Here is a 23,211-nt window from a genome sequence, read left to right on the forward strand (position 1 = left end):
GGGGAGGCTGAGGCAGGAGAATCACTTGAACCCAGGAGACAGAGGTTGCAATGAGTCAAGATGGTGCCACTGCACTGCAGCCTGGGCAACACAGTGAGACTCCAACTCAAAAAAAAAATTAAAAAAAAATTTTCCTAGGTCTGCCACAGTGGCTCATTCCTATAATCCTAACACTTTGGAAGGCAGGCAGATCAGTTGAGCCAGGAGTTCAAGACCAGCCTGGGTAATATAGTGAGACCCTTGTCTCTACAAAAATTAAAAAAAATTAGCCAGGTGTGGTAGCACACACCTGTAGTCCCAGAGTCCCAGCTATTCAGGAGGCTGAGGTGAAAGGATTGCTTCAGCCTCAGAGGTTGAGGCTGCAGTGAGCTGTGATCACTCCTCTGCACTCTAGCCTGGGTGACAGAGCTAGACTCTGCCTCAAGAAAAAAAAAAAAAAAAAGTGCTATTTTATTAAGAGGGAGATAAGACAGTAAAAGAGACAAACAAATTAGACTTATCCAAATATAGTTAGCTTTACAGATTTAGTTTTGGAAGAGATTTTATATAATTATAAAATAAAAGGTAAATTTTTAAAAACTAAAAATTGAAAGATAAATGAAACAAATGAACCTAACAATATATATGCAGCTGGTGGTTAGGACCACATAAATTGAATTACAAATGTACAGGAAACACAAGGAACAGAGAAACATAAAACCCCACAAGGATGCAATCAGCAATATCCAGAATGTGGCAAATGCTACAGGACAGAGGATCAGTTTCCTAAACAAATTATAAGGAAAATGATGAGATGGAGAGAGAACCTAGGGATTTAAAAAGTTTTATAAGTGACATATGAACCAATTGGAATAGATGGACTTTATATAGCCCTTGCTTTGAACAATGCTGTTTATTTTTTTTTAAAAAAAGGGAAACAATCAGGAAAACCCAAACACTGACCAGATATTTGATGATATGAAGGAATTTCTGTCAATTTTTCCAGATGTGATAATGGTATTGTGGTTTTGTTTAATTCTTACCTTTTAGAGGGACATACTTTAGTATGTCACCTGGGAAATTTTTTTTTAAAACTAATTTCTGGGGCTCACAGATATAACTGACCTGGTATTGGGCCCCGATATCATTTTATTAAAACTGCCACAGATGATTCTAATGAGCAGCCAGGCTTTGTAAACTATTGATCTAGGGTAAGTTAAATCAACAAAATAAATAAAACCTCACCTAGGTATTAATCAAACTGCATGCCTCCAAAAGTACTCTTCCTGAAGACTGGAATCTACATATATTATTAACATTAAAGGATAAAACTGACATCTCTGAATTCTACTGTGCTTATTTTTAAGGTACTTGTAACGATTAAATAAATGTTTACTTAGCTCTCAAATTTACATAGCTACCTAAACTAAGCAAACTTTTCTTGACTACCTATACATATTGAACAAACCGAGAACAACAATGGCAAAACCCTTAAGTGTTCACATGCGGGACAATTACGACTAGTAACAATTATGATCTATAAACATACTTATCAAGAGATTAATGAGAACACATCTTCAATAAAACAAATGGACTGCAGTGCTACAAATCTGAACTACAGAAGAGGTTACCTAGGGTGCATGAGACAACTTCTTTCCAATTTAGTCTTATTTCTCTTATCTCGCCTTTTCAAAACTTGTACACAACCAGTGCAGGAAAAACAGGCAAGATTTCTATCCCCCTTACTGATCATTTTCCCAGCGGAAAACCCTGAATAAACCCACCTTAGATAGGAAGATAAGCAGAAAAGGGCTAATTAAATCTATCTATCTAAATATATGTAAATAAAAATCTATATAGACGCAAATAAATATATATATAAAAGATATATATACATATAAAAGCTCAGGAAAAAAAGTTATCACATTGAGCTTTTGTGTTTAGTTACCCATCCAGAAAGGCTTTGTGGCAGAGTGATATATTCCAAAATGCTTTGAGATCAGGGAAAAGATAGCTACTTGCCTCCAGAAGTTTGGGATTATGTTTCAACTGTTATCTTATATGAACACCACTAAATTTGAACAGGTCTAGTTCTTTAGGGTTGAGGTACAAAGTGCCTGAAGAAAATTATCATAGTAAGAGAATATACAGCTTTTTAGAGGAGGCCATTTAAGGAAAAAATGATGACCTCAGCTAAATGGGAACTTGGCTTTTCTTTATCTGTATGTAAGAAGGAATAAACTTGAGGTCTGAGAGAGAAAGTTGGAAGAGTAGGAAAAAAGTACACGGGGGAACAAAGAGGACAAATTATTAGACAGCGAGAATACTGAGTAAGTAGGTTCCATCAGTAGGAGAGAATTACCAGTTAAGTAAGCAACTCAAAGTTGCGATTAGACAGGATAGATGTTTTATAAATATTTGCTAACTAGCATATGAGTATTAAAACTAGGTAAACACTGTATTCCAATTAAATCTAGTTTGACTTGTAATTCTAGTTTAAACCTTTTCTGGGGCTTTTTCAGCCTTTTCATATCTACAGGTATTCTCTAACATATTTTCCAGATTTTTATGCCTTTACATTTGCTTAGAAAGATAATTATACAAAATGCTTAGATTTTAGTTAAATCTAGATTCTATTTGGGAAAAAACTCATATTTAACAAGATTAGGTTTTTCTATAAAAAGCATGAGTTATTCCAAAATAAATTATTTCTTCTTCATAACTTAGCTTTACAACCAAACCATACCATTTGAGGAAAGTGCATCTGATATAGTTTGCCTGTTCAGTGTCTCAACTTTTCTTTACAATATCTTAAGATTTTTGCCCTTTTTTTTTGATTTCCTAAAAGTGCACACAATTCATAACTCAAGCCATTTTGTGGATAAGATTAGTATCCAGTCTTCTTAAGGAGAGAGTGGTCTCTAATAATGGTATTATTCTAACACTTCTAGAAGGAAAAATGTATCACAGTGTATAATGAAATCACCAAGAAACAACACTATACAGAATATTTTCCTCGATACAGAAGTCATTCACTGTTGTATACTTATAAGAAGTGGCAATAAGACACTCTATCATTTAATATTACAATGTTTATACACAACTTTTTGTTCTCAAAAGTACTTTGACATGCCATTTAGTTTTTTACAGTGCTTTTTCCGAAAAGGTCCAAGTGACAAAAGAAAAGAAAGAACTATTTCAAACACAAATATTAAACATTTAATGGGATATGGCGGAATAAGCACTGGAAGTCAAGAGACTTGTTTCTAATCCCAGCTCTGCCTGTAACTAGCTGTGTGACTTCATATGCGTCACTAAATCGTTTCTTAAATTGTAAAGAAAGTAGTTCTTAATGTTTAAATCTGAATTTCTAAAAATCTACTACAATTAAGGTACTTTCAAATATTACATTATAATTAACAGCCCAATTAAATATAAGCCATTTTGCCATACGTGTTTAGTCCTTCGCTTTTGTCTCAATTTGACCTGAAGCCTGGATCAATTAGTCTGCACACTCAAGACGTACTCTGGGGCAAGAGGGACTAGGGAAAGATTCTTTTAAGATGGGATGATGCTGAGCAGGTTAGGCAGTTAGGAATGAATGCATATTCAAATAAGGCGCAATGAAGAAGAAATCTGCTTCCATGGGGAAATACGTTGCAATAAGATTTGAGGGAGGCCTTGAGCTGAGATTGTCAGGTAACCACACCTTCCACCCTTCAAACTCTATTCTCCCAGTGGAATCCAAACCAGTCTCCAGTTCCGGGTTCCCAACCAATCGCATCAAGCCACAACAGAGGGATCTGCCAACCCGGGCACCGCTTCAGGGATCTAGACCCAGTGAGAGTCACACAACCCCAGCACCTGTCGACCTCACACTCTTCCCAAATGGAGAGGGTGGGAAGGAACGCTAGGTCTATGCTTGGTCTTTTCCGATTCAAGCTACCACCAGGTCCACTAGCCCTCGAAACCGAAACCCCCGGACTTCGGGGAGAAGGGGAAGCTCCTACGCCGTGACTACGTATCAGTCCCTCAGGGCTAATTCTCCCATTCTCCCCCGACACTGGTTTCTCAGGCCTCGGGGACTCCGCGCCTGGAAGCCGACAGGCGAGAGTGAGGGCAGCGGGGGAGGGTGCACTCCAAAACACTGCAGGAAAAGACGGAAAAGCAGGGGCAGGAGTAGCAGTGTTCCCCCTGGGCGAGGGCCGGAGGCCGTTCGTGCGTTTGTCGATGGGTCTGTCATTCCCTCACTCACCAGGAGCAGAAGGGAGCATCTGAGGTCGGGTAAGGATAGGAAGACGGCAGGATGCATGGTAACGCTGGGGTCCGTGACAGGGACAGGCGCTGGCGGCTGGGACTGGGCTAGGTTGGGTTGGGTTAGGAAAGGGCTGGGCTCCGGGAGCCGACGGCAGCGGAGGATTCTCCAGGCAGCGGCACCTCGTCCTCTCGACCCGGGCTCCAGCGGCGAACACCCGGGACAACTTCCAGAGAGGCCTCTCACACCCTCACTTCCGGGTCCTGCCCACCTCGGTGCACTTCGGGAAATGTAGTCCTGCACTAGCCTCACCCCGCACGTCGTCCGTCATCTAGAACTTCCTTTCCCATTGGGCTCTCGGCCCCGGTCCACTGAGTCCTCTGCGCGCGGGGTCCTGTGGGATAGAAGGGCGGAGGGCGGGTGTACGCGGTGCTTCAGAGGATGGGAACTACAATTCCCAGAAGGATGTGCGGCCGAAAGCCTCGGGCGGCCTTTTGAGGGGCTCGGCTAGCTTCAGCGCCGTGGGGTCTGACCTGGCTGGATATAGTGTACCGGCCCGGCAGGAGGGGCGGCCCGGTCCGGGTTGCGCCTCCTGGAGCCGCCCCCGGGACGTCAGTCCTGGAGGAGGCGAGGGTGAGTAGGAGGGGGCCTGGCTGGGGAGGCTCAGATCATTCGGTCCGCACCGCCTTGGCCCCTGCTGCAGACTCACGGCCTTCCTGGCCTAGGCTGTGGCCTGAGCCTCCATCATTGGCCTCCTCGCCCGCTGCCTCTTCTTTCTGCTCTAATTCCTGCATTATAAAGTCAGAGCCACCACTCGGGGCCTCAGTTGAATGAGTCAATGACTTATCCCTGATTGTCTCTGAGGGCTCCTGTAAGGAGTAGATGTGGTACGGGATGGGATAGCACGTCGTAAACTGGAAAACTGTGTGAGTGATTGCTGCTAAGGCGTGGATCGCTCCTCCAGTATAATTACGAAATTCCCTAGCAAAGCAGTCGAGGATCCTAACTTGGCCCCAGGTAGCTCTGCGGCTTCTTCTGCAAACACTCAGTGAGGTCCAGGAGCCCACGCGATCTCTGCTTAGTACCCAGGAGGCACACTGTGCTTTTGTGGTTCTCCCTGCTCCCGCCTTTGCTTCAGCTTTCCTGCTGCCTGGAATGGCCTTACCCGTTCTCTCTCTGGAATGCTATCTTAAATGTCACCATCTCTGAGAACTTCCCGAACAACCAACCCTTTAGTCCTAATCAGAATTACTCTTCCTATGAGTGTGACTGCAGTACCTCTAGTTTTGTACGGTTATAATTATTAGAGCATTTATTACACGGGCTTGTTGTATAATTAGGCAAGGATGATGACACCTTTGCATTTTATAGCACTTTATCAAAGTGGTTTTGACTTTTTTCTATAAAAAATGATTTATTTTCTTAAAGGGGCAAAAAATACATTTTTTCTTAAGAAAAAAAAAGAGCCCTGCATAATGGCTTTCTCAGGGTGACAAAATTAGACAGTGATAGAGCCAATACTCTTACCAAGGCGGCCTAACTCCTAGACTAGTGCTCCTATCTCTTGTCCACGCCCCTGACAGAGCCCAAAGATAGTTGAAATGGGAAATTTTAAAAGAGCAGAGACTTGTAAGTATGAACTCATTATTCAAGAAATTAAACTTTGATCCTGCTCACTTTTTGGACTTAGCACTCAGCCTGTGACCTTTCATCCAACAAACATCTACTGAGTACTGGCTATATACCTGTTACTGTGCTAAGTGCTAAGAATTATGAAGTAAAAAGTATATATATATAATATATATAATATATGTACATATAATATATATAATATATGTATATATAATATATATATTATATATGTATATATAATATATATATTATATATGTACATATAATATATATATTATATATGTACATATAATATATATATTATATGTACATATAATATATATATTATATGTACATATAATATATATAATATATGTATATATAATATATATTATATATATAATATATGTATATATAATATATATAATATATGTATATATAATATATATATAATATATGTATATATAATATATATATTATATATGTATATATAATATATATTATATATGTATATATATTATATGTATATATATAATATATATAATATATATACATATATATTATATATATAATATATATTATATATATAATATATATGTATATATAATATATATATTATATGTATATATATTATATATATTATATATGTGTATATATAATTTATATATGTATAATATATACACACACACACATATATATAAAACAGAGATCACATTTTTAGTGTATTTTTCAAAGGGTATAAAGAACTTTTTTTGTGGTTCTGATGTGCCTAAAACTCTGATCACTTAGAATGAAAAATGACAGGTCTTAGAGTTTAGAACAGTGCCTAGCACATAGTTGTCACTCAGCTTGTTGAATGAACGAATGTGAACATGGTCTAACCTTATTATTTTTTGCATTTTACAGAAACCTAGAAAGCTGACATAGCCTGAGGACACACTGCTGATTATAAATACAACTGGGCCTAGAACCCAAGTGCAGTTACTCCCCTCCCATGTTTTCACCTCCACCTCTATTTTGTAGCTTCTCTCAAATAACCTTAATATAATCCTGGATATGACAGTAGTTCTTCTGACATGACTGTTAGACTCAGACATGACTGAAGTGTCTCACAACACCCTCTTCCTCCATATTTTCTGCCAGTCCTTAACTCAAATTGTCAGCAAAATAAAGACGTAAGGAGCTGTGCTTTACCATAATTAAGAAAGTATTAATATGTTCTCTCAAGGGCAGAATTTGAACCAATAATCCTTGTCGATGACAAGACAAATACCAGCTCATCCGTTATAAATTTATCTTAGAAAACTCTCAGATCCCCAGGAGTAACAGCGATTGGCGTGACCTGCTTTTTGGTGAAATCAGAAAAGGACTTGCCTACCCTCATGGCAGCAATTAACTGGAGCTGATTAACAGCTGCTCCCTTTAGATAAGTACATATGCTTGAGTTTACCGTGATTCTGTGACTCCCTACGTTTCTAACAGTTGTTACCTCTCTGGTCCTTGTAGGCATTCAGCTTTGGAACTTTGATAAAGCAGCTTAAGGGTTTAGGAAGGATGTTTAAGATCACTGATGCAACTATTCATCTTTCCTTCCCATCAGGTGTTTGAATTGTTGCTGCATTTCTCCAGCCTCTGCTTTCTTAAACACTCTTGTGATAGGGATCTCACTATCTTCCTATGCGGCTGATACTTATTTTTTATTTTATTTTATTTTTTTTGAGACAGGGTCTCCCTCTGTGCCCAGGCTGGAGTGCAGTGGCATGATCTTGGCTCACTGCAACCTCCATCCACCTCCCAAATTCAAGCAATTCTCCCACCTCAGCCTCCTGAGTAGCTAGGATTACAGGTGTGTGCCACCACAGCCCAGCTAATTTTTGTGTTTTTAGTAGGGACGGGGTTTCACCATATTGGTCAGGCTGGTCTCTCAAACTCCTGTCATATGTTTTTAAAAGGTTCTTACAAGCTCCATGAGACTACCGGTCAGAACAAAATTGTCCTTATTGAAATATGGTTCATTTTAGTGATACGATGTTCCAAGTAAGATCTTATGGTTAAGACCTCTATCTAGGTATATTTTCCTGGTGGACCAAGGAGAGAACAAATAAAAATTTCACTTTTTGTGAGAATGACGGCAAGACCTAGATACCTTTTAATTTAGTATTTAGCCAGGTGTGATGGCACATGCCTGAAGTCCCAGCTATTCAGGTGGCTGAGGAGGGAGGATCGCTTAACTCAGGAGTTTCAGGCTGTAGTGCGCTATGCCATTCAGGTGTCCACTTTAAGTTTGGCATCAATATGGTGATCTCCCAGGAGTAGAAGACCACCAGGCTGCCTAAGAAGGAATGAACTGGTCCACGTCAAAACTCCTATGCTGATCGTAGTGGGATTGCACCTATGAATAGCCACTGCCCTCCAGCCTAGGTAACATAGCAAGATCCCATCTCTTTAAAAATAGTTTTTTAACTAATTTTTTTTTCAGATGGAGTCTTACTCTGTTGCCCAGGCTGGAGTGCAGTGGTGCGATCTCAGCTCACTGCAACCTCCACCTCCCAGGTTCAAGCAATTCTCCTGCCTCAGCCTCCTGCATAGTTGGGATTATGGGCACGCGCCACCACGCCCAGCTAATTTTTGTATTTTTAGTAGAGACACAGTTTCGCCATGTTGGCCACGCTGGTCTCGAACTCCTGACCTCAGGTGATCTGCCCGCCTTGCCCTCCCAAAGTGCTGGGATTACAGGCGTGAGCCATCACACCCGGCCTTAACTAATTTTTTTATTTTTTTCTGAGTCAGGGTCTCAACCTGTTGCCCAGTCTGGCATGCAATGGTGTGATCTCAGCTCACTGCAAACCCTGTTTCTCAGGTTCAAGTGAAACTTCCACCTCAGCCTCCCGAGTAGCTAGGATTACAGTGCATGCCACCATGCTCAGCTAATTTTTAAAAACTTTTGGTAGGCAGGGCATGGTGGCTTATGCCTGTAATCCCAGCACTTTGGGATGCCAAGGTGGGCAGATCACTTGAGATCAGGAGTTCGAGACCAGCCTGGCCAACATGGTGAAACCCCGTCGCTACTAAAAAATACAAAACTTAGCCGGTCGTGATGGCAGGTGCCTATAATCCCAGCTACTGAGGAGGCTGAGGCAGGAGACTTGCTTGAGCCCTGGAGGCAGAGGCTGCAATGAGCTGACATCGCACCACTGCACTCTAGCCTGGGTGACAGAGCAAGACCCTGTCTCGAAAAGACAAGAAGGGAGGAAAGCAGGGGGAGAGGAGGGGAGGAAAGGAGAGGCGAGGGGAGGGGAGGGGAGGCGAGGGGAAGGGAGGGGAGGGGATGGGATTTGTAGAAATGAGCTCTCGCTATATTGCCCAGGCTGGTCTCAAACTCCTGGGCTCAAGAAATTCTCCTGTCTTGGCCTCACAAAGTGCTGGGATTACAGGCATGAGTCACCATGCCCAGCCCTAATTAATTTTTTTAAGTTTATTTAGTGCTTAAATCCAGCTAATTCTGACTTCACAATTGAGTTTATGTTATACTCTTTTTGTGGATCGGGCTCACTTTTATTTGCAATATCAATTCTAATGTTTAATATTATGTGGCATCATATTACTTGTATTAACTTAGATTATGTGGCATCATATTGCTTGTGTCACTGTAACCCTGAGCCCTGTGCCTAATGTTAAATATTGTCTTTGTTTTTTCCTCAGATAGTCCCTAAGAAGAGTCCTAGAAGCACCTACCCTCTCATTTTACAGATGAGCAGATGAGCAACTTGTACAAAAGTCACCTAATTTGCCACCTAATGCCAATTCCAGGACTAGGACTATAGCTTTTTTTCTTTTGAGACAGGTCTCACTAAGATAGACAGCCTCACTATCTTGCCCAGGCTGCTCTCAAACTTCTGGCCTCAAGCAATCCTCCTGCGTTGGCCTTCCAAACTGCTAGTATTACAGATATGTACCACTGCACCCAGCCAGGACTATAGATTTTTCTAATCCTAGTCAAGTATTTCTAGTAAGCCATATTTATAAAATACCCACTTGGAACTGATGAGACAGGTTTCAGAAATGTTTGCTGCATGCGCTCATTGTCTGAATCATTGTTTCAGGTTGCTCCGGTTGCTAAGAAGACTATGAACAAGTCAGAGAACCTGCTGTTTGCTGGTTCATCATTAGCATCACAAGTCCATGCTGCTGCCGTTAATGGAGATAAGGGTGCTCTACAGAGGCTCATCGTAGGTAAGCAGTCCCCTTAAGTACAGAAACTTTAAAAGCAACTGTTTGTCCTGAGGAAGTTTGTTAATGTTAGTTTTAATTTGCAATGTACTCATACATTTTAATGGAAATATGTTATTATTTATATTTTCTTCCAACACATGAACAAGAAAGGAATTAAGTCCTAAAACTTAAAAATATGGGTTAGGATTAGGTGAAAAGTACTTGAGAAATTTCTATGTATTTAGCACTAAGTCTAGATAGATATTCTAAGGTACTAAGGGAATGAATTCATCTTTATGTTAACAGATCTCGAATGAAACAGTGGATAATCTTTTAACATTTAATATATACCCAAAGTATTAAAGTTTACAAATGATTTAATTTTTAATGATTTAAAATTGATTCAATGTTCCCCCTGTGATTTGCATATATAAGTGATATATAGAGAGGTCCAATGCAGGAGTTCTAGAGGAGAGAATAAAGAGAACAAAGAATAGCTAAGAATTTTCTAGAACCTTAGCTTCCTGCTAAAGCAGAGCAAAGATCCATCTTTCTATCACAAATCCAGATATTCACAAGTTGCAAATCCCAAAGAGAAAAAAATAAAAATATATTATTTGTAGTCTTTATTCACACCAGTGTCTGATGACATCATGATTGACAACTTGGGCTACAAAATAAAGTCCAAATTACTTGAACTTTCATACCTGTTCCTTCCGACTTTGTTTTTACCCTACATTTGCAGTTTCTCCAGGAACTTCTACTGGTGTACCGTAACCTCTGGCTAAGCTAGAGGTTACTTCTATTTCCCAATAAGCCATGAATTTTGTCTCACTTTCTCCATATGTTCTGTTTCCCCACCTTTTTTCTATCTGCTACTCTGTTAACCTTCTTCTGTGCTAAACAAACTCCTACTTATCTTTAAAGACAAAACTATTGTATCTCACACTCTGTGAAGATTTCTCTTCCTCTGCTTATCCTTACTTTACCTCAGCTATCTACATTCACTGGAACTTGACATTTTCCACCACCTCCAAATCACTCAAACATTCTACCATTCAACTAAAACTCTTACTTTCAGCTCACTTACTGATGACAAACAATAGTTTTCCATGCTCACTGAGACCTCCAATCCACTAGCTTCTCTAGTTTTGACCATCAGTTTTCCTTCTGTCTTTTCCTTCCTCACTACTCAGCCTTGATTCTATGTCTGTTATTAAAATCCTTCTCTTGGAAAAATTCCCTTTTTTTTTTTTTTTTTTTTTTTTTGCCTTCTGTTGCACTTGACTGTTGCATTCTCAACTCTGGATGTACCAAACCTATCTTGCTAAGCAGTTGAATCCAGCTGAAAGATTGATAGCACCCCAAATTCATGATTACCCACTTCAAATAGGCACTCAGTACTTACTACTCATCATACCACATTTTTTCTGTAATGAATGTTTCATACCTCTCACTCTACTGAATCCTGTGACTGCCAGTTCCCCCTCCTTTCATTCTCTTTAATGCAGTAGGCTTACTAGAGGAAATGAAGACATTAAGTAGGAACTCCCTCATCTTTCAGTATGGTATCTACAAATCTACCTCGATCTGTACCCATCTTCTCTCTTCATCTTCCTGCTAAAACAGAGCAAAGATCCATCTTTCTGTTAAAGGCCAGTTCTTCCACACATGCTCTGTGTTCCATCCCCTCCTGTCTTCTCAGGGACATTGCTTCTTTTTTTCCCCCTCTGATTACTATATCTTCAACCTTTCTTCTATGCTAAATTCTTTCCATCAACACTTAAACATGCTTCATTGTTTCCATTATTTAAAAATCCCATCTCTGTTTCTTCATCTCCCTTTAGGTATTGCCATTTTCAACTTTCCCTCACGACTGCATTAGCGCACAGGCTAAACTGCTACAACCATGACTTGAATAAGATAGAAGTATATTTCATTCTCATAATATTGCAATCCCAACTCTAGATGGACCAAACCTATCTTCCTGGCAACTACTAAGCAGTTGAACCCAGCTGTGTAATAGTACACAGTTATGTGGGCAGTCTAGGTTAGATAGATATCTCCATTTCACAAAACCATTTAGGTATACTGCCAGGCCTTGGTTCTTCCATTCTCAACATGATGCTTCTATTTCTGGGTCAAAGGCAGATACGTTCATTATAGTCATAGCCCAGTCAGCAGGAAGGAGGAAGAGAGAGCACAGGGAAAGCAATTTGTCAGTAAGGAGGTAGACTAGACTTAGACCACAAAGCCACACCTAGAACAAAAGAAGCTGAAAAAAAAAGTCTTGCCCTGGATGGTATCATGCCCAGCTAAAACTCACGGTGCTCAATTGTTGAAAAGAAGAATGAAAGAATGAATGGGGGGCAAATATTGCTGTCTGTCACCAAAACCAAGATTCTTGGGCCAGCTGTACCCATTGTCCACACTTATTTACCTTAATTCACTCTTTTATTAAAACAAAATATACTTTCTTATTTTGAAGTATACATATAGAGAAGTGCATACAACTTATATGTACAATTTAACAAATAAACATAAAGCAAACATCCACTTAAACCACCTAGGTTAAGGAGCAGCACATTGTCAGTAACCCCAGAAGCCCCTAATGCATCCTTCTCTCCCCACTAGAGGAATAGGCTATCTTGACTTTTATAATAATCATTACATTGTGGTTTTACCACCTACATATACATCCTTAAACACTTTAGTTAATTTTGCCATTTTTGACTTTTTGCTAAATGTTCCATGTTCACTTGAACTAAAAAATGTATGTATATTACATTTTTGTCATTTTCCTGCTCAAAATTCTTTCATTATTCCCATTATACTTGGAATAAAATTTGACAGGTTACTTGTATCTCTTTACCTGTCCATCCTCACGTTTTACCTCACGTGGTAAAACTTGCCTTCTTTCAGTGTCTCACACCTGCCAAGCCCTTTTTCATCTCAGGGCTTTTGCCTGAAACGCTGTTCTCCCTATTCTCTGTCTGAATAACTCTTAGTCATCCTTGAGATTTCAATTTTAAGGTCACTTCTTCAAAGAGGCCTGCTAACCATCCAGTCTCAATGAAATCTGTTCATTGTATTCCCTCTTGGCCCTCTGTAGTTTTTCTTCATAGAACTTGTTTCAGATTATCACTGTATATTTATGTGTATGAATATTTTAACATCTCTCTCCTCCATAAGCTAGTGGCCTTCATGAAAGTAGTCTGGGTCTGTTTAATTCATCACTAAATCCACAAAATCCAGCACAGTACTTGGCACATAAGAAATATATTTGTTGAAGGAATGAATAAATATTTTAATCATTCTTTAAGTATCTTTTCTCCCAAGTAGTCTATAATCATCTTGAGGGCCAGGACTAAAAATGAATTGAGTTGAATTAAATTGAATTGAGGAGCAGATTGGGACTAAATTCCATGAGAAAAAAAAATTTTAAGTCAGGACGTATGAAGAAAAAGTACCAAGTAAAATGAATTCATTAATGCTTTAATTAAAAATATAACCTTCAAAGAAAAAAGTGCAGTATGTTATAAATTAAAAACACTTATATTTTTATGGCTCAGTCATACAGATTAATTAATGTGTTATTATTAAAACCTGAAACCTTGAAAATCCCCAAAGAGAAAATCCTTAAAAACCAAAAAGCAATCATGATGTGAAGCCAGTAGGTAGCTAATAAACTTATTTATAAATTGTTTTTCTGTTTTCTATCATCTTGTCTGAGGAACTTCTTATTAATTACTGACTGAGGGTGCCACTCCTCATCTTTTAAGAATTGTGCCATTATGTTTTCTGTGTACCTTTGCTCTAGAGTATTTTCCAGCATTTGTATATTTGTGCAAAAATAATAACTGTTTCATCTTAAATTTCAATGTAATTTTTTTTCTATGCATATGAATGCCAGGTGGTAATTTCAATGTATTTTAAACATCTTTTTATGTATCACATATTTGATGATCTCTAAATATATGCTATTTCTCTTTTCTAAACTAGTGACATAGTACTACAGATGAATTTTTTTTCTTGAATCCTTGTTCACCAACTGCTCAGTGAATTCATTCACTTTAGCATTTTCTGTTTTCCCCTCTCTGTTTCCATGGAGAAGTATGTCAGTGATGTGTTTGACTCCATGGAAACAGATGAGTGTCTCTTTCTACATACACAACGAATTAAATCGAACACTTTCTGTGCTGCCCATTGTCCTGGAGGAGGACTGGAGAGGCCTTCTCTGAATGAAACATCATTTCAGTAGCAATTCTTAGTGTTTAACCTAATACAGTGGATTAATGTTTTACCATAACTTACTGCTTCTAGATTCAGATGTATTAGGGCTTACTTCTGAGCCTTAAAATATAAACATACATAGTAAAATCTGAATATGCTATGGTTCTCATTTATAGATATTTAGCTTTTTCTCTTAACACCAAACTCAAATAATTTGAATGAATACTAGAAATGTAATTGAGAACAGAATTTAGTAGATTCATTTTAATACTATACAGTGTAGTATTGGTAGAAAAAAGTATAGATTTTAGAGTCAGATAAACCTGAGTTTTAAGTTCTAACTGTTATTTATTAGTAGTAATATCTTGGCTAAGCCATTTAATTTTTAAGCCTCAGTTTCCTCATCCGTAAACTATAGATTATAATATTTCACTTGTGTGAGAGTTAAATGAAATAATGACAGTAAAATATCTAGCATGGTACTTGACACATAGTAGACAATAAGTTAATATCCTATTACTGTTATTGTTATGTCAGCTTAGACTAAAATAATCAAGTTTTTCATAGCTTCAGATGTCTCAATATGAAAGAGCACTAAATGCAACAAAGATTAATATTGTGGGTTTTTTGTGAAAACTAAACAAAATAATTTGTAAATATGCATGGTGTGTAATGATCAATGTTGTCATTACTGCCAATAATATTTGAGGTCGCTTGCAGTGGTATCGTGACCAGGAAGCACCATTCTGATTCTACTACAACTTTTGTTTCACTGTCCATGTTCTGAGCAGCATAATCTCTCTAAATCATTTCCTCTACTTGTTTATTTATTTATTTATTTTTGAGATGGAGTTTCACTCTTGTTGCCCAGGCTGGAGTGCAATGGCGTGATCTCGGCTCACCACAACCTCTGCCTCCCTGGTTCAAGTGATTCTCCTGCCTCAGCCTCCCAAGTAACTGGGATTACAGGCATGTGCCACCATGCCCGGCTAATTTGTTGTATTTTTAGTAGAGACGGGGTTTCTCCATGTTGGTCAGGCTGGTCTCGAACTCCCGACCTCAAGTGATCCGCCCGCCTCGGCCTCCCGAAGTGCTGGGATTACAAGCCTGAGCCACTGCGCCCGGCCTCTACTTGTTTTTAACATCTTCTGACACAGTATTTAGATACGGAAGTGAGCCTCATAAATGACAGAGTAGAGGTACTATTTCAGGTTACTTCTTCCCTTACCTCAATCCCTACCTTAAAAGCTAGAGTCATTAAATGTTTTTAAAATGCTTGCCTACATGCAAATGTGTTTATAAATATACTTAAATGTTTATGCATCCATCCTAACAATAGTAATAAAATTAGCTAACATTTATAAAGTTATGTTTTATGTGCCAGCCACTGTATTGTTTGGCAACTCATTAACTTAACAGTGAAATAATATGAAGAGTTTGGGGTATTAGTATTACCCTCATTTTTAAATAAGGAAATTGAGATGCAGAGAGGTTAAGTAACTTGTCTAAGAAGTATCAGAACTGAGATTAAAGCCAAGAAGTCTGATTCCAGAGTCCATTCTTTTAACTGCTAAAGTATGGGACCTCAATGTATGGGTAGATATTTTTGTACACACGTGCACTTTCATATGTATAAATAAATAGGAATGAGAAAGATAAGAAAGAAAGAACCGATTAGGTGTGAACCTTGCATGATGAAATGAATGATTATCTAGATGGGATTTTTCTTAACATTTTTGTGCTATGGGCCCTTCTGGCAATCTGGTAAGCTTCTGGACTCCTCAGAACAAAAATATATGTATATTTTTAAGAGCTGAAATGCAATATAGAGGATTACAAAGGAAACCAGTTATATTGAAATATCAAATATTTTTAAGTTGAGACATAACAATATTCTGCCATAATTTTTTATGAATGTATTAAATAGCAAGGTGTTGGGGCAAGTCTTACAGCTATGATAATTTTGAAATAGCAGTGAGTGAAAATGATATTTTAACATACCTGCACAAATTATAAGTTATAGAAATATTTTATAAAATCTCAAGTCCTCTCAAAATACAGTATGTCTCATGTTATTATTATTCTCATTTTGCATGTTAGGACACTGAGACTCAGAAGTTGAGAAATTTAGTTGCACAGTTAATAACTGGCAAAGTTGAGCCTCAAACCAAATTATCTGATGATGAATCCTATGTTCTTTCCATTGTTCCCATGTTGTCACTCTATAACAATAAGCAGAGATTTTTTAATGACAGCAAAATGCCTTCCCAAGATTGTAACAGTATAAAATATGTAAAGTAAGAAGTGGGTGAAATCAGATGAAATAAATACATCTTGGATGCCATGCAAATATAACATTTTAGAACAAGCAAATAAGATACAAATAGAGACTACTCTTGTTACTTGTATTGGGCATTGTGTTGCTGTAGCTATTGTGCGGACTAGCACAACTATAACTGCAAGTGACAGTCATTTCCTCTAACTGCTAGAGTTGGCGCTCTGGTTTCTGCACATACCAGCCCATTAACCATATGTACTCTTATGCTTCCACAAGCCTTAAAATAACTGAATGCGGTAGAGCAGTGGCTTTCCAGTCATGCTTCCAGCTCAGCTTTCTGGACTGTGTTGAGACAGAGCACAGGCAGAATGCCAGCCACGTTGAGCAAGCACCAATTGGTCATGGATTAGAGGCCATCTCCACAGTTGCCAGAATAATTAGCACAACACAGCACAGTAGCCAGCTGCTTTCTATATTAACTGTTCCTGACAGGAATGCAAATTTAAATGCACTGCCATCCAGTGAATATTAGTTTACATCATAAGCTCTACGTTTGTACAACATGTTACAATTACCAAATATTTCCAAACAATACATTGTTTTATTGGATCATCAAACAAGTTGCGGTGTAGATTGGACAAGTATTAGCTGAATGTTATAAGTGAGGAAACTAAGGAAGAGAGTAGGGTGGATAGATAAAGGCACAGACCTCGCTCAGTTACTGGCCAGGAAGCCCAGAACCTAATGGTACCCTCATTATTCAGAAACTAGCCATGAAGCCACTGTCCCCCTAGAGCTACTCAAGACAGGACCTAAGTGAGGTTGAATGCTGCTTTTTCTAATCATTTAGGGGATATATACTTTCTTTCTTTCTTTCTTTCTTTTTTTGAGACAGAGTCTCACTCTGTCACCCAGGCTGGAGTGCAGTGGTGCAATCTCTGCCTTCCGGGTTCAAGTGATTCTCCTGCTTCAGCCTCCCGAGTACCTGGGACCACAGGTACATGCCACCATGCTCAGCTAATTTTTGTATTTTTAGTAGAGACAGGGTTTTGCTATGTTGGCCAGACTGGTCTCGAACTCCTGACCTCAGGTGATCCACCCGCCTCAGCCTCCCAAAGTGCTGGGATTACAGGCATGAGCCACCACGCCCAGCCGGGGGATATATACTTTCAATTTCCTCAAATAGACAAATTTTGCCTTATAGGCACAAAATATTGGATTGTGGTGACATAACCCAATAACATCTTCTCTTCTGGGAAATACATATATCGGTTACAAAGAAACAATGTATGTCAGGGAACAAAGAGAAGGCTTGAAGTTTCCCTGTATCTTATATAAGACTTAGGAAGATGACAGGATTGACCTAAAGTTCTGTGTCCTTGAAGGTGAGTTGCCTATTAACCCCATGATGCTGACTCTGCTTTGACCCTGAGGAGCCTAATCAATTAGGACAGGGGTGTTCAAGCTTTTGGCTTTCCTGGGTATTGGAAGAAGAATTGTCTTGGGCTACACATAAAATACACTAACACTAACAATAGCTGATGAGCTAAAAAAAAAAAAAATCGCAAAAAAAAAAATCTCATAATGTTTTAAGAAAAATTATAAATTTGTGTTGGGCAGCATTAAAAGCCTTCCTGGGCTACATGTGGCCCACAGGCCACAGGTTGGATAAGCTCGAGTTAGGATTATCCCAGAATGTGAGATGGCCTCTGTTTCTCAGCACTTACTCTTGTGACCATAGTTCCTAATCCTCTCCTTTACTAAAGCTTCTAAGGAGGAATGTCTCTCTAGGCAGAAAGTGTAAATGAATTACTGTTATCTTGCTAATACTAGCTACTACTATCTTTGCTTAACCTAACAAGATGCCAGTAGAGACTGCCCTTTAATCATGAAAGACAACTAGAGACTAGTCTCATTATGGCATATTCTCTATAAGTATCACTGACTCCAGAAGGACTCAAACTGATAAAAGGAACATGCTCTTATACTACATTTTAGTTCTGTTAATGAGTTTCAGTTTAAATAAATCTTTATCTATAAATACAGTGATAGAATCTTTGGAATCTTCTAGATTAGATATTGAAGGCTCTAGTACAAAGAATATACTGTTGTACTACACAGAGTCTTGTGCATAAGGGCTTCTGTTATTATATGTGTTGAATCCAATGCAAAATTTGCCTCCATCTTCAAAAAAGTTCTGAAAAAGAATATCTGCCTCCTCTAGGAGTTACACACAACCTGAATACATCTGTAAGGCTCTTTCAAATTTCCAGAGCAATGACCTTTCTTGCTTTTTACCAGCGAAGTAAATTGCTGAAAAGCTAGGAAGTCTTTCTGGGTTCCAGCGTATCCAAGATTAAAATATATGTCGAAGTATTGCAAACTAAAACAGTAGCTTAGTTTCATGCCCAAAACAACCCAGGCATTTATCTGGTGTCTTTTTTGTTTGTTTGTTTGTTTGTTTGTTTGTTTGTTTTAGTTTTAATTGATACATACTAATTGTATGTGTTTATGGGGGTGGAGTGTGATGTTATAATACATGTATAGATTGTGTAATGATCAAATGATGATATTTAGCATATGCATTAACTCAAACATTTATCATTTCTCTGTGGTGAGAGCATTCAAAATTCTAGCTATTTTGAAATATGCAATACAGTATTGTTAACTATAGTCACCCTACTGTGCAATAGAACACCAAAACTTATTCCTTATATCTAACTGTACCCATTGACATTTCTAGCATTCTATTTTCCAAAGAAAACACTTTCATTTTGTCTATTCACTTCCTCCATTAGCACAGTTCAGGCCAAGATACCTTGGAAGTAACTGGCTTCCCTCTTGTTCAACCCAGATGTAATTACCCTCAGCTAGTAAGAGATGAATACTTGATGATTATCTGTAACAAAAGTGGCAACATTTTTTTCACTTACAATACATAGCTGGAGCCATGGCATCTTTTGTAGTTATTGTTTTTAACTAAAATTTATTGAGGTATATAATACAGTAAATTTCACCCTTGTTCGTATACAGTTATTTAATTTTGAGAAATATATAATCATGTGATCACCATGACCATCAAGATAAAGAACAATTCTATCATGCCCCAAAATGTTAGAACTGTGTCCTTTTATAGCCAGTTTCTCCCCACATTCCACATATTCCAGTCCCTGGTAACCACTGGTCTGTTTTCTGTCTCTATAGTTTTAACTTTTCCACAATCCTATGCCAATGTGTCACATGATATATATGCCCTTTGAGGCAGATTTCTTTCTTTTTTTTTTTTTTTTTTTTTTTTTTTTGAGACAGAGTCTCACTTTGTCTCCCAGGCTGAAGAGCAGTGGTACAATCATGACTCACTGCAGCCTCAACCTCCTAGGCTCAAGCGATCCTCCCACCTCAGCCTCCTGAGTAGCTGGGACTACAGGCATGTTCCACCATGCCCAGCTAAGTGTGTGTGTGTGTTTTGTAGAGATGGGGTTTTGCCATGTTGCCCAGGCTGGTCTCAAACTCCAGGCTTCAAGGGATCTTCCCCCCATCAGCCTCCCAAAGTGCTGGGATTATGGGCGTGAGCCACTGTGCCTGGTGAAGTGGATTTCTTTCACTTGACATAAGGCATTTGAGAATTTTCCATGTTGTTGAGTGGATCAGTAGTTCATTCCTTTTTATTAGTGAGCTATATTCCATTTTATGGATGTACTGCAGATTATTTTCTCATTTTGCAGTTTAAGGACAATTGGGATGTTTCCAGTGTTTAGCAATTATGAATAATGCTGCCGTAAATATTCACATACAAGTTTTTATATTAACTTAAACTTTCATGCTTTTATTTCTCCTGAGTAAACACTTAAGTGAAAAATTATTAGGCCATAATTATTAGGCTACAGTTTTAATAGTAGCTATACCATTTTGCATTTCTACCAACAATGGCTGAGAATTCTATTAATAGTTCTACAACTAGGTTCTACATCCTTAACAGCATTTGGTATTGTGAAGTTTGCTTTTGATTGTTTTCATTTTAGCCATTCTAATAGATGTGCAGTGGTATCGCATTATAGGTTAAGTTTACATTTCCCTGTGTGTTAATGATGTTGAGAGTCTTTTCATATGCTTATTTAGTGAAATGTCTATTAAAACCTTTTGGCCACCGTTTAATTTCTCTTTTTTTATTTTATTTTTATTTTATATATATATATTTTTATTATACTTTAAGTTCTAGGGTACATGTGCACAACGTGCAGGTTTGTTACATATGTATACATGTGCCATCTTGGTGTGCTGCACCCATTAACTCGTCATTTACATTAGGTATATCTCCTAATGCTATGCCTCCCCCGTCCCCCGACCCCACAACAGGCCCCAGTGTGTGATGTTCCCCTTCCTGTGTCCAAGTGTTCTCATTGTTCAGTTCCCACCTATGAGTGAGAACATGCAGTATTTGGTTTTTTGTCTTTGCTGAGAATGATGGTTTCCAGCTTCATCCATGTCCCTACAAAGGACATGAACTCATCATTTTTTATGGCTGCATAGTATTCCATGGTGTATATGTGCCACATTTTCTTAATCCAGTCTGTCATTATTGGACATTTGGGTTGGTTCCAAGTCTTTGCTATTGTGAGTAGTGCCACAGTAAACATACATTGTGCATGTGTCTTTATAGCAGCATGATTTATAATCCTTTGGGTATACACCCAGTAATGGGATGGCTGGGTCAAATGGTATTTCTAGTTCTAGATCCCTCAGGAATCGCCACACTGTCTTCCACAATGGTTGAACTAGTTTACAGTCCCACCAACAGTGTAAAAGTGTTCCTATTTCTCCACATCCTCTCCAGCACCTGTTGTTTCCTGACTTTTTAATGATCGCCATTCTAACTGGTGTGAGATGATATCTCATTGTGGTTTTGATTTGCATTTCTCTGATGGCCAGTGGTGATGAGCATTTTTTCATGTGTCTGTTGGCTTTTAATTTCTTTTCTTTCTTTTTTTTCTTTTTTTTTTTTTTGAGACAGGGTCATACTCTGTCACCTAAGCTGGAGTGCAGTGGTGCAATCTCGGCTCCCTGCAACCTCCGCCTCCCGGGTTTAAGTGATTCTCATGCCTCAGCCTCCTAAGTAGCTGGGATTACAGACATGAGTCCAGCCACTGCACCTGGCTAATTTTTATATTTTTAGTAGAGATGGGGTTTTGCCATGTTGCCTAGGCTGGTCTCAAACTCCTAGACTCAAGCAATCTACCTGCCTCTGCCTCCCAAAGTGCTGGGATTACAGGTGTGAGCACTGCACCCAGCCTAAGTTTCATTATCCATCTTATTATTCTATTGTAAAAGTTTTTATTTATTCTGGAATAAAAGGCCTTATCAAATATGTGTTTTGCAAATATTTCCTCCCAATTTGTGGCTTTTTAAAAATTTTTCTTAATTGTGTTTTCAAACACAATTTCTTTATTTGGATGAAATCTAATTTATTAATTTTTATGGATTATTCTTTTGTATCATATCTAAGAAATCTCTGCCTAACACAAAATCAGGAAGATTTTCACCTTCAATTGCTTCTAAAAGTTTTATATAGTTATAGGTTTTATTTATTTTTTATTTTTTTAACAGGCTTTATTCACTTTATTTTTCTTGTATAAAACCCTATGTTGTAGCCACAGCTGGAGCCTGAGTCCGCTGCACGGAGACTCTGGTGTGGGTCTTGACGAGTTGGTCAGTGAATTCCTGACAGGGAGACTTGGTAAATACAATCTTCCAGAGGTCGGGGGTCAGGTAGCTGTAGGTCTTAGAGATGGCATCAAAGGTGGCCTTGGCGAAGTTGCCCAGGGTGGCATTGCAGCCCCGGGCTGAGGTGTAGCAGTCATCGATACCAGCCATCATGAGCAGCTTCTTGGGCACAGGCGCCGAGACAATGCCAGTGCCCCTGGGTGCAGGGATGAGGCACACCAGCACAGAGCCGCAGCGGCCTGTCACCTTGCAAGGGACGGTGTGGGGCTTGCCGATCTTGTTCCCCCAGTAGCCTCTGTGCACGGGGACAATGGAGAGCTTGGCCAGGATGATGGCCTTACGGATGGTGGTGGCCACTTCCTTGGAGCACTTAACACCCAGACCGACGTGGCCGTTGTAGTCCCCGATAGCAACAAACGCTTTGAACCTGGTGCTCTGGCCAGCACGGGTCTGCTTCTGCACCGGCGTAACCTTCAAAATCTCGTCCTTGAGAGAGGCCCCCAGGAAAAAGTCAATGATCTCAGATTCATTAATGGGCAGGGAGAAGAGACAGATTTCCTCCAGGGACTTGATCTTCATGTCCTTGACCAAGCGGCCCAGCTTGGTGACGGGCATGCACTCCTTATCCTCGGCCTTGCCTTCTCGAGCTCCACGGCCTCAGCCCGGGCCCCGTCCACGGCCGCAACCCCGGCCCCGGATGCCACTGCGGAAACCTCCGCGGAAGCCACCGCGGTTCCCCATCCCAGGGCCACCAGGGCCTCCGGCCCCCCGCCCCCCCCGCCCACCTCCCGCTGCACCGGCGTTATCAGCCATTTGGTGTTTTCTCGGAGAAGAAGCAGTTATAGGTTTTAGATTTAAGTTTATGATACGTTTTGAGGTAATTTTTATATATGGTGCTATTATGGACTGAATATTTGTATTC

The 23,211-nt window shown here is 39.3% G+C and overlaps 2 protein-coding genes and 2 pseudogenes across 5 annotated transcripts in view, besides 3 other annotated features; 2 read left to right on the plus strand and 2 right to left on the minus strand.

Annotated features, from left to right (window-relative positions):
* ERP44 (endoplasmic reticulum protein 44) overlaps positions 1-4,451 on the minus strand; it is a 119,816-nt gene extending 115,365 nt beyond the window's left edge. Inside the window, exon 1 of the mRNA NM_015051.3 lies at positions 4,235-4,451. Within this exon, the coding sequence (NP_055866.1) occupies positions 4,235-4,291 (57 nt within the window). The 5' untranslated portion in view covers positions 4,292-4,451. The remainder of the gene's footprint in view (positions 1-4,234) is intronic.
* Positions 4,298-4,367: an enhancer, noted in NCBI's record as "active region_28720". NCBI's record gives its function as "activates an Ori minimal core promoter by ATAC-STARR-seq in GM12878 lymphoblastoid cells {active_cell/tissue: GM12878}" and the evidence as "EXISTENCE:reporter gene assay evidence [ECO:0000049][PMID:35858748]".
* Positions 4,378-4,517: an enhancer, noted in NCBI's record as "active region_28721". NCBI's record gives its function as "activates an Ori minimal core promoter by ATAC-STARR-seq in GM12878 lymphoblastoid cells {active_cell/tissue: GM12878}" and the evidence as "EXISTENCE:reporter gene assay evidence [ECO:0000049][PMID:35858748]".
* The window catches only part of INVS (inversin), a 202,933-nt gene continuing 184,415 nt past the window's right edge, over positions 4,694-23,211 (plus strand). For all 4 annotated transcript variants that reach the window (NR_134606.2, NM_001318381.2, NM_001318382.2 and 1 more), the window contains exons 1-2: positions 4,694-4,867; positions 9,949-10,078. Coding sequence is in view for 1 of the 4 variants with exons in the window: in NM_014425.5 (NP_055240.2) it covers positions 9,973-10,078 (106 nt within the window). In the remaining 3 variants the exon portion in view is untranslated. The remainder of the gene's footprint in view (positions 4,868-9,948; positions 10,079-23,211) is intronic.
* Positions 4,758-4,967: a silencer, noted in NCBI's record as "silent region_20132". NCBI's record gives its function as "represses an Ori minimal core promoter by ATAC-STARR-seq in GM12878 lymphoblastoid cells {active_cell/tissue: GM12878}" and the evidence as "EXISTENCE:reporter gene assay evidence [ECO:0000049][PMID:35858748]".
* RN7SL75P (RNA, 7SL, cytoplasmic 75, pseudogene) lies at positions 8,010-8,290 on the plus strand (annotated as a pseudogene).
* On the minus strand, positions 22,167-23,125 carry RPS2P35 (ribosomal protein S2 pseudogene 35; annotated as a pseudogene).

Source organism: Homo sapiens, chromosome 9, assembly GCF_000001405.40.
Source record: "Homo sapiens chromosome 9, GRCh38.p14 Primary Assembly".
NCBI classification, from domain to species: Eukaryota; Metazoa; Chordata; class Mammalia; order Primates; family Hominidae; genus Homo; species Homo sapiens.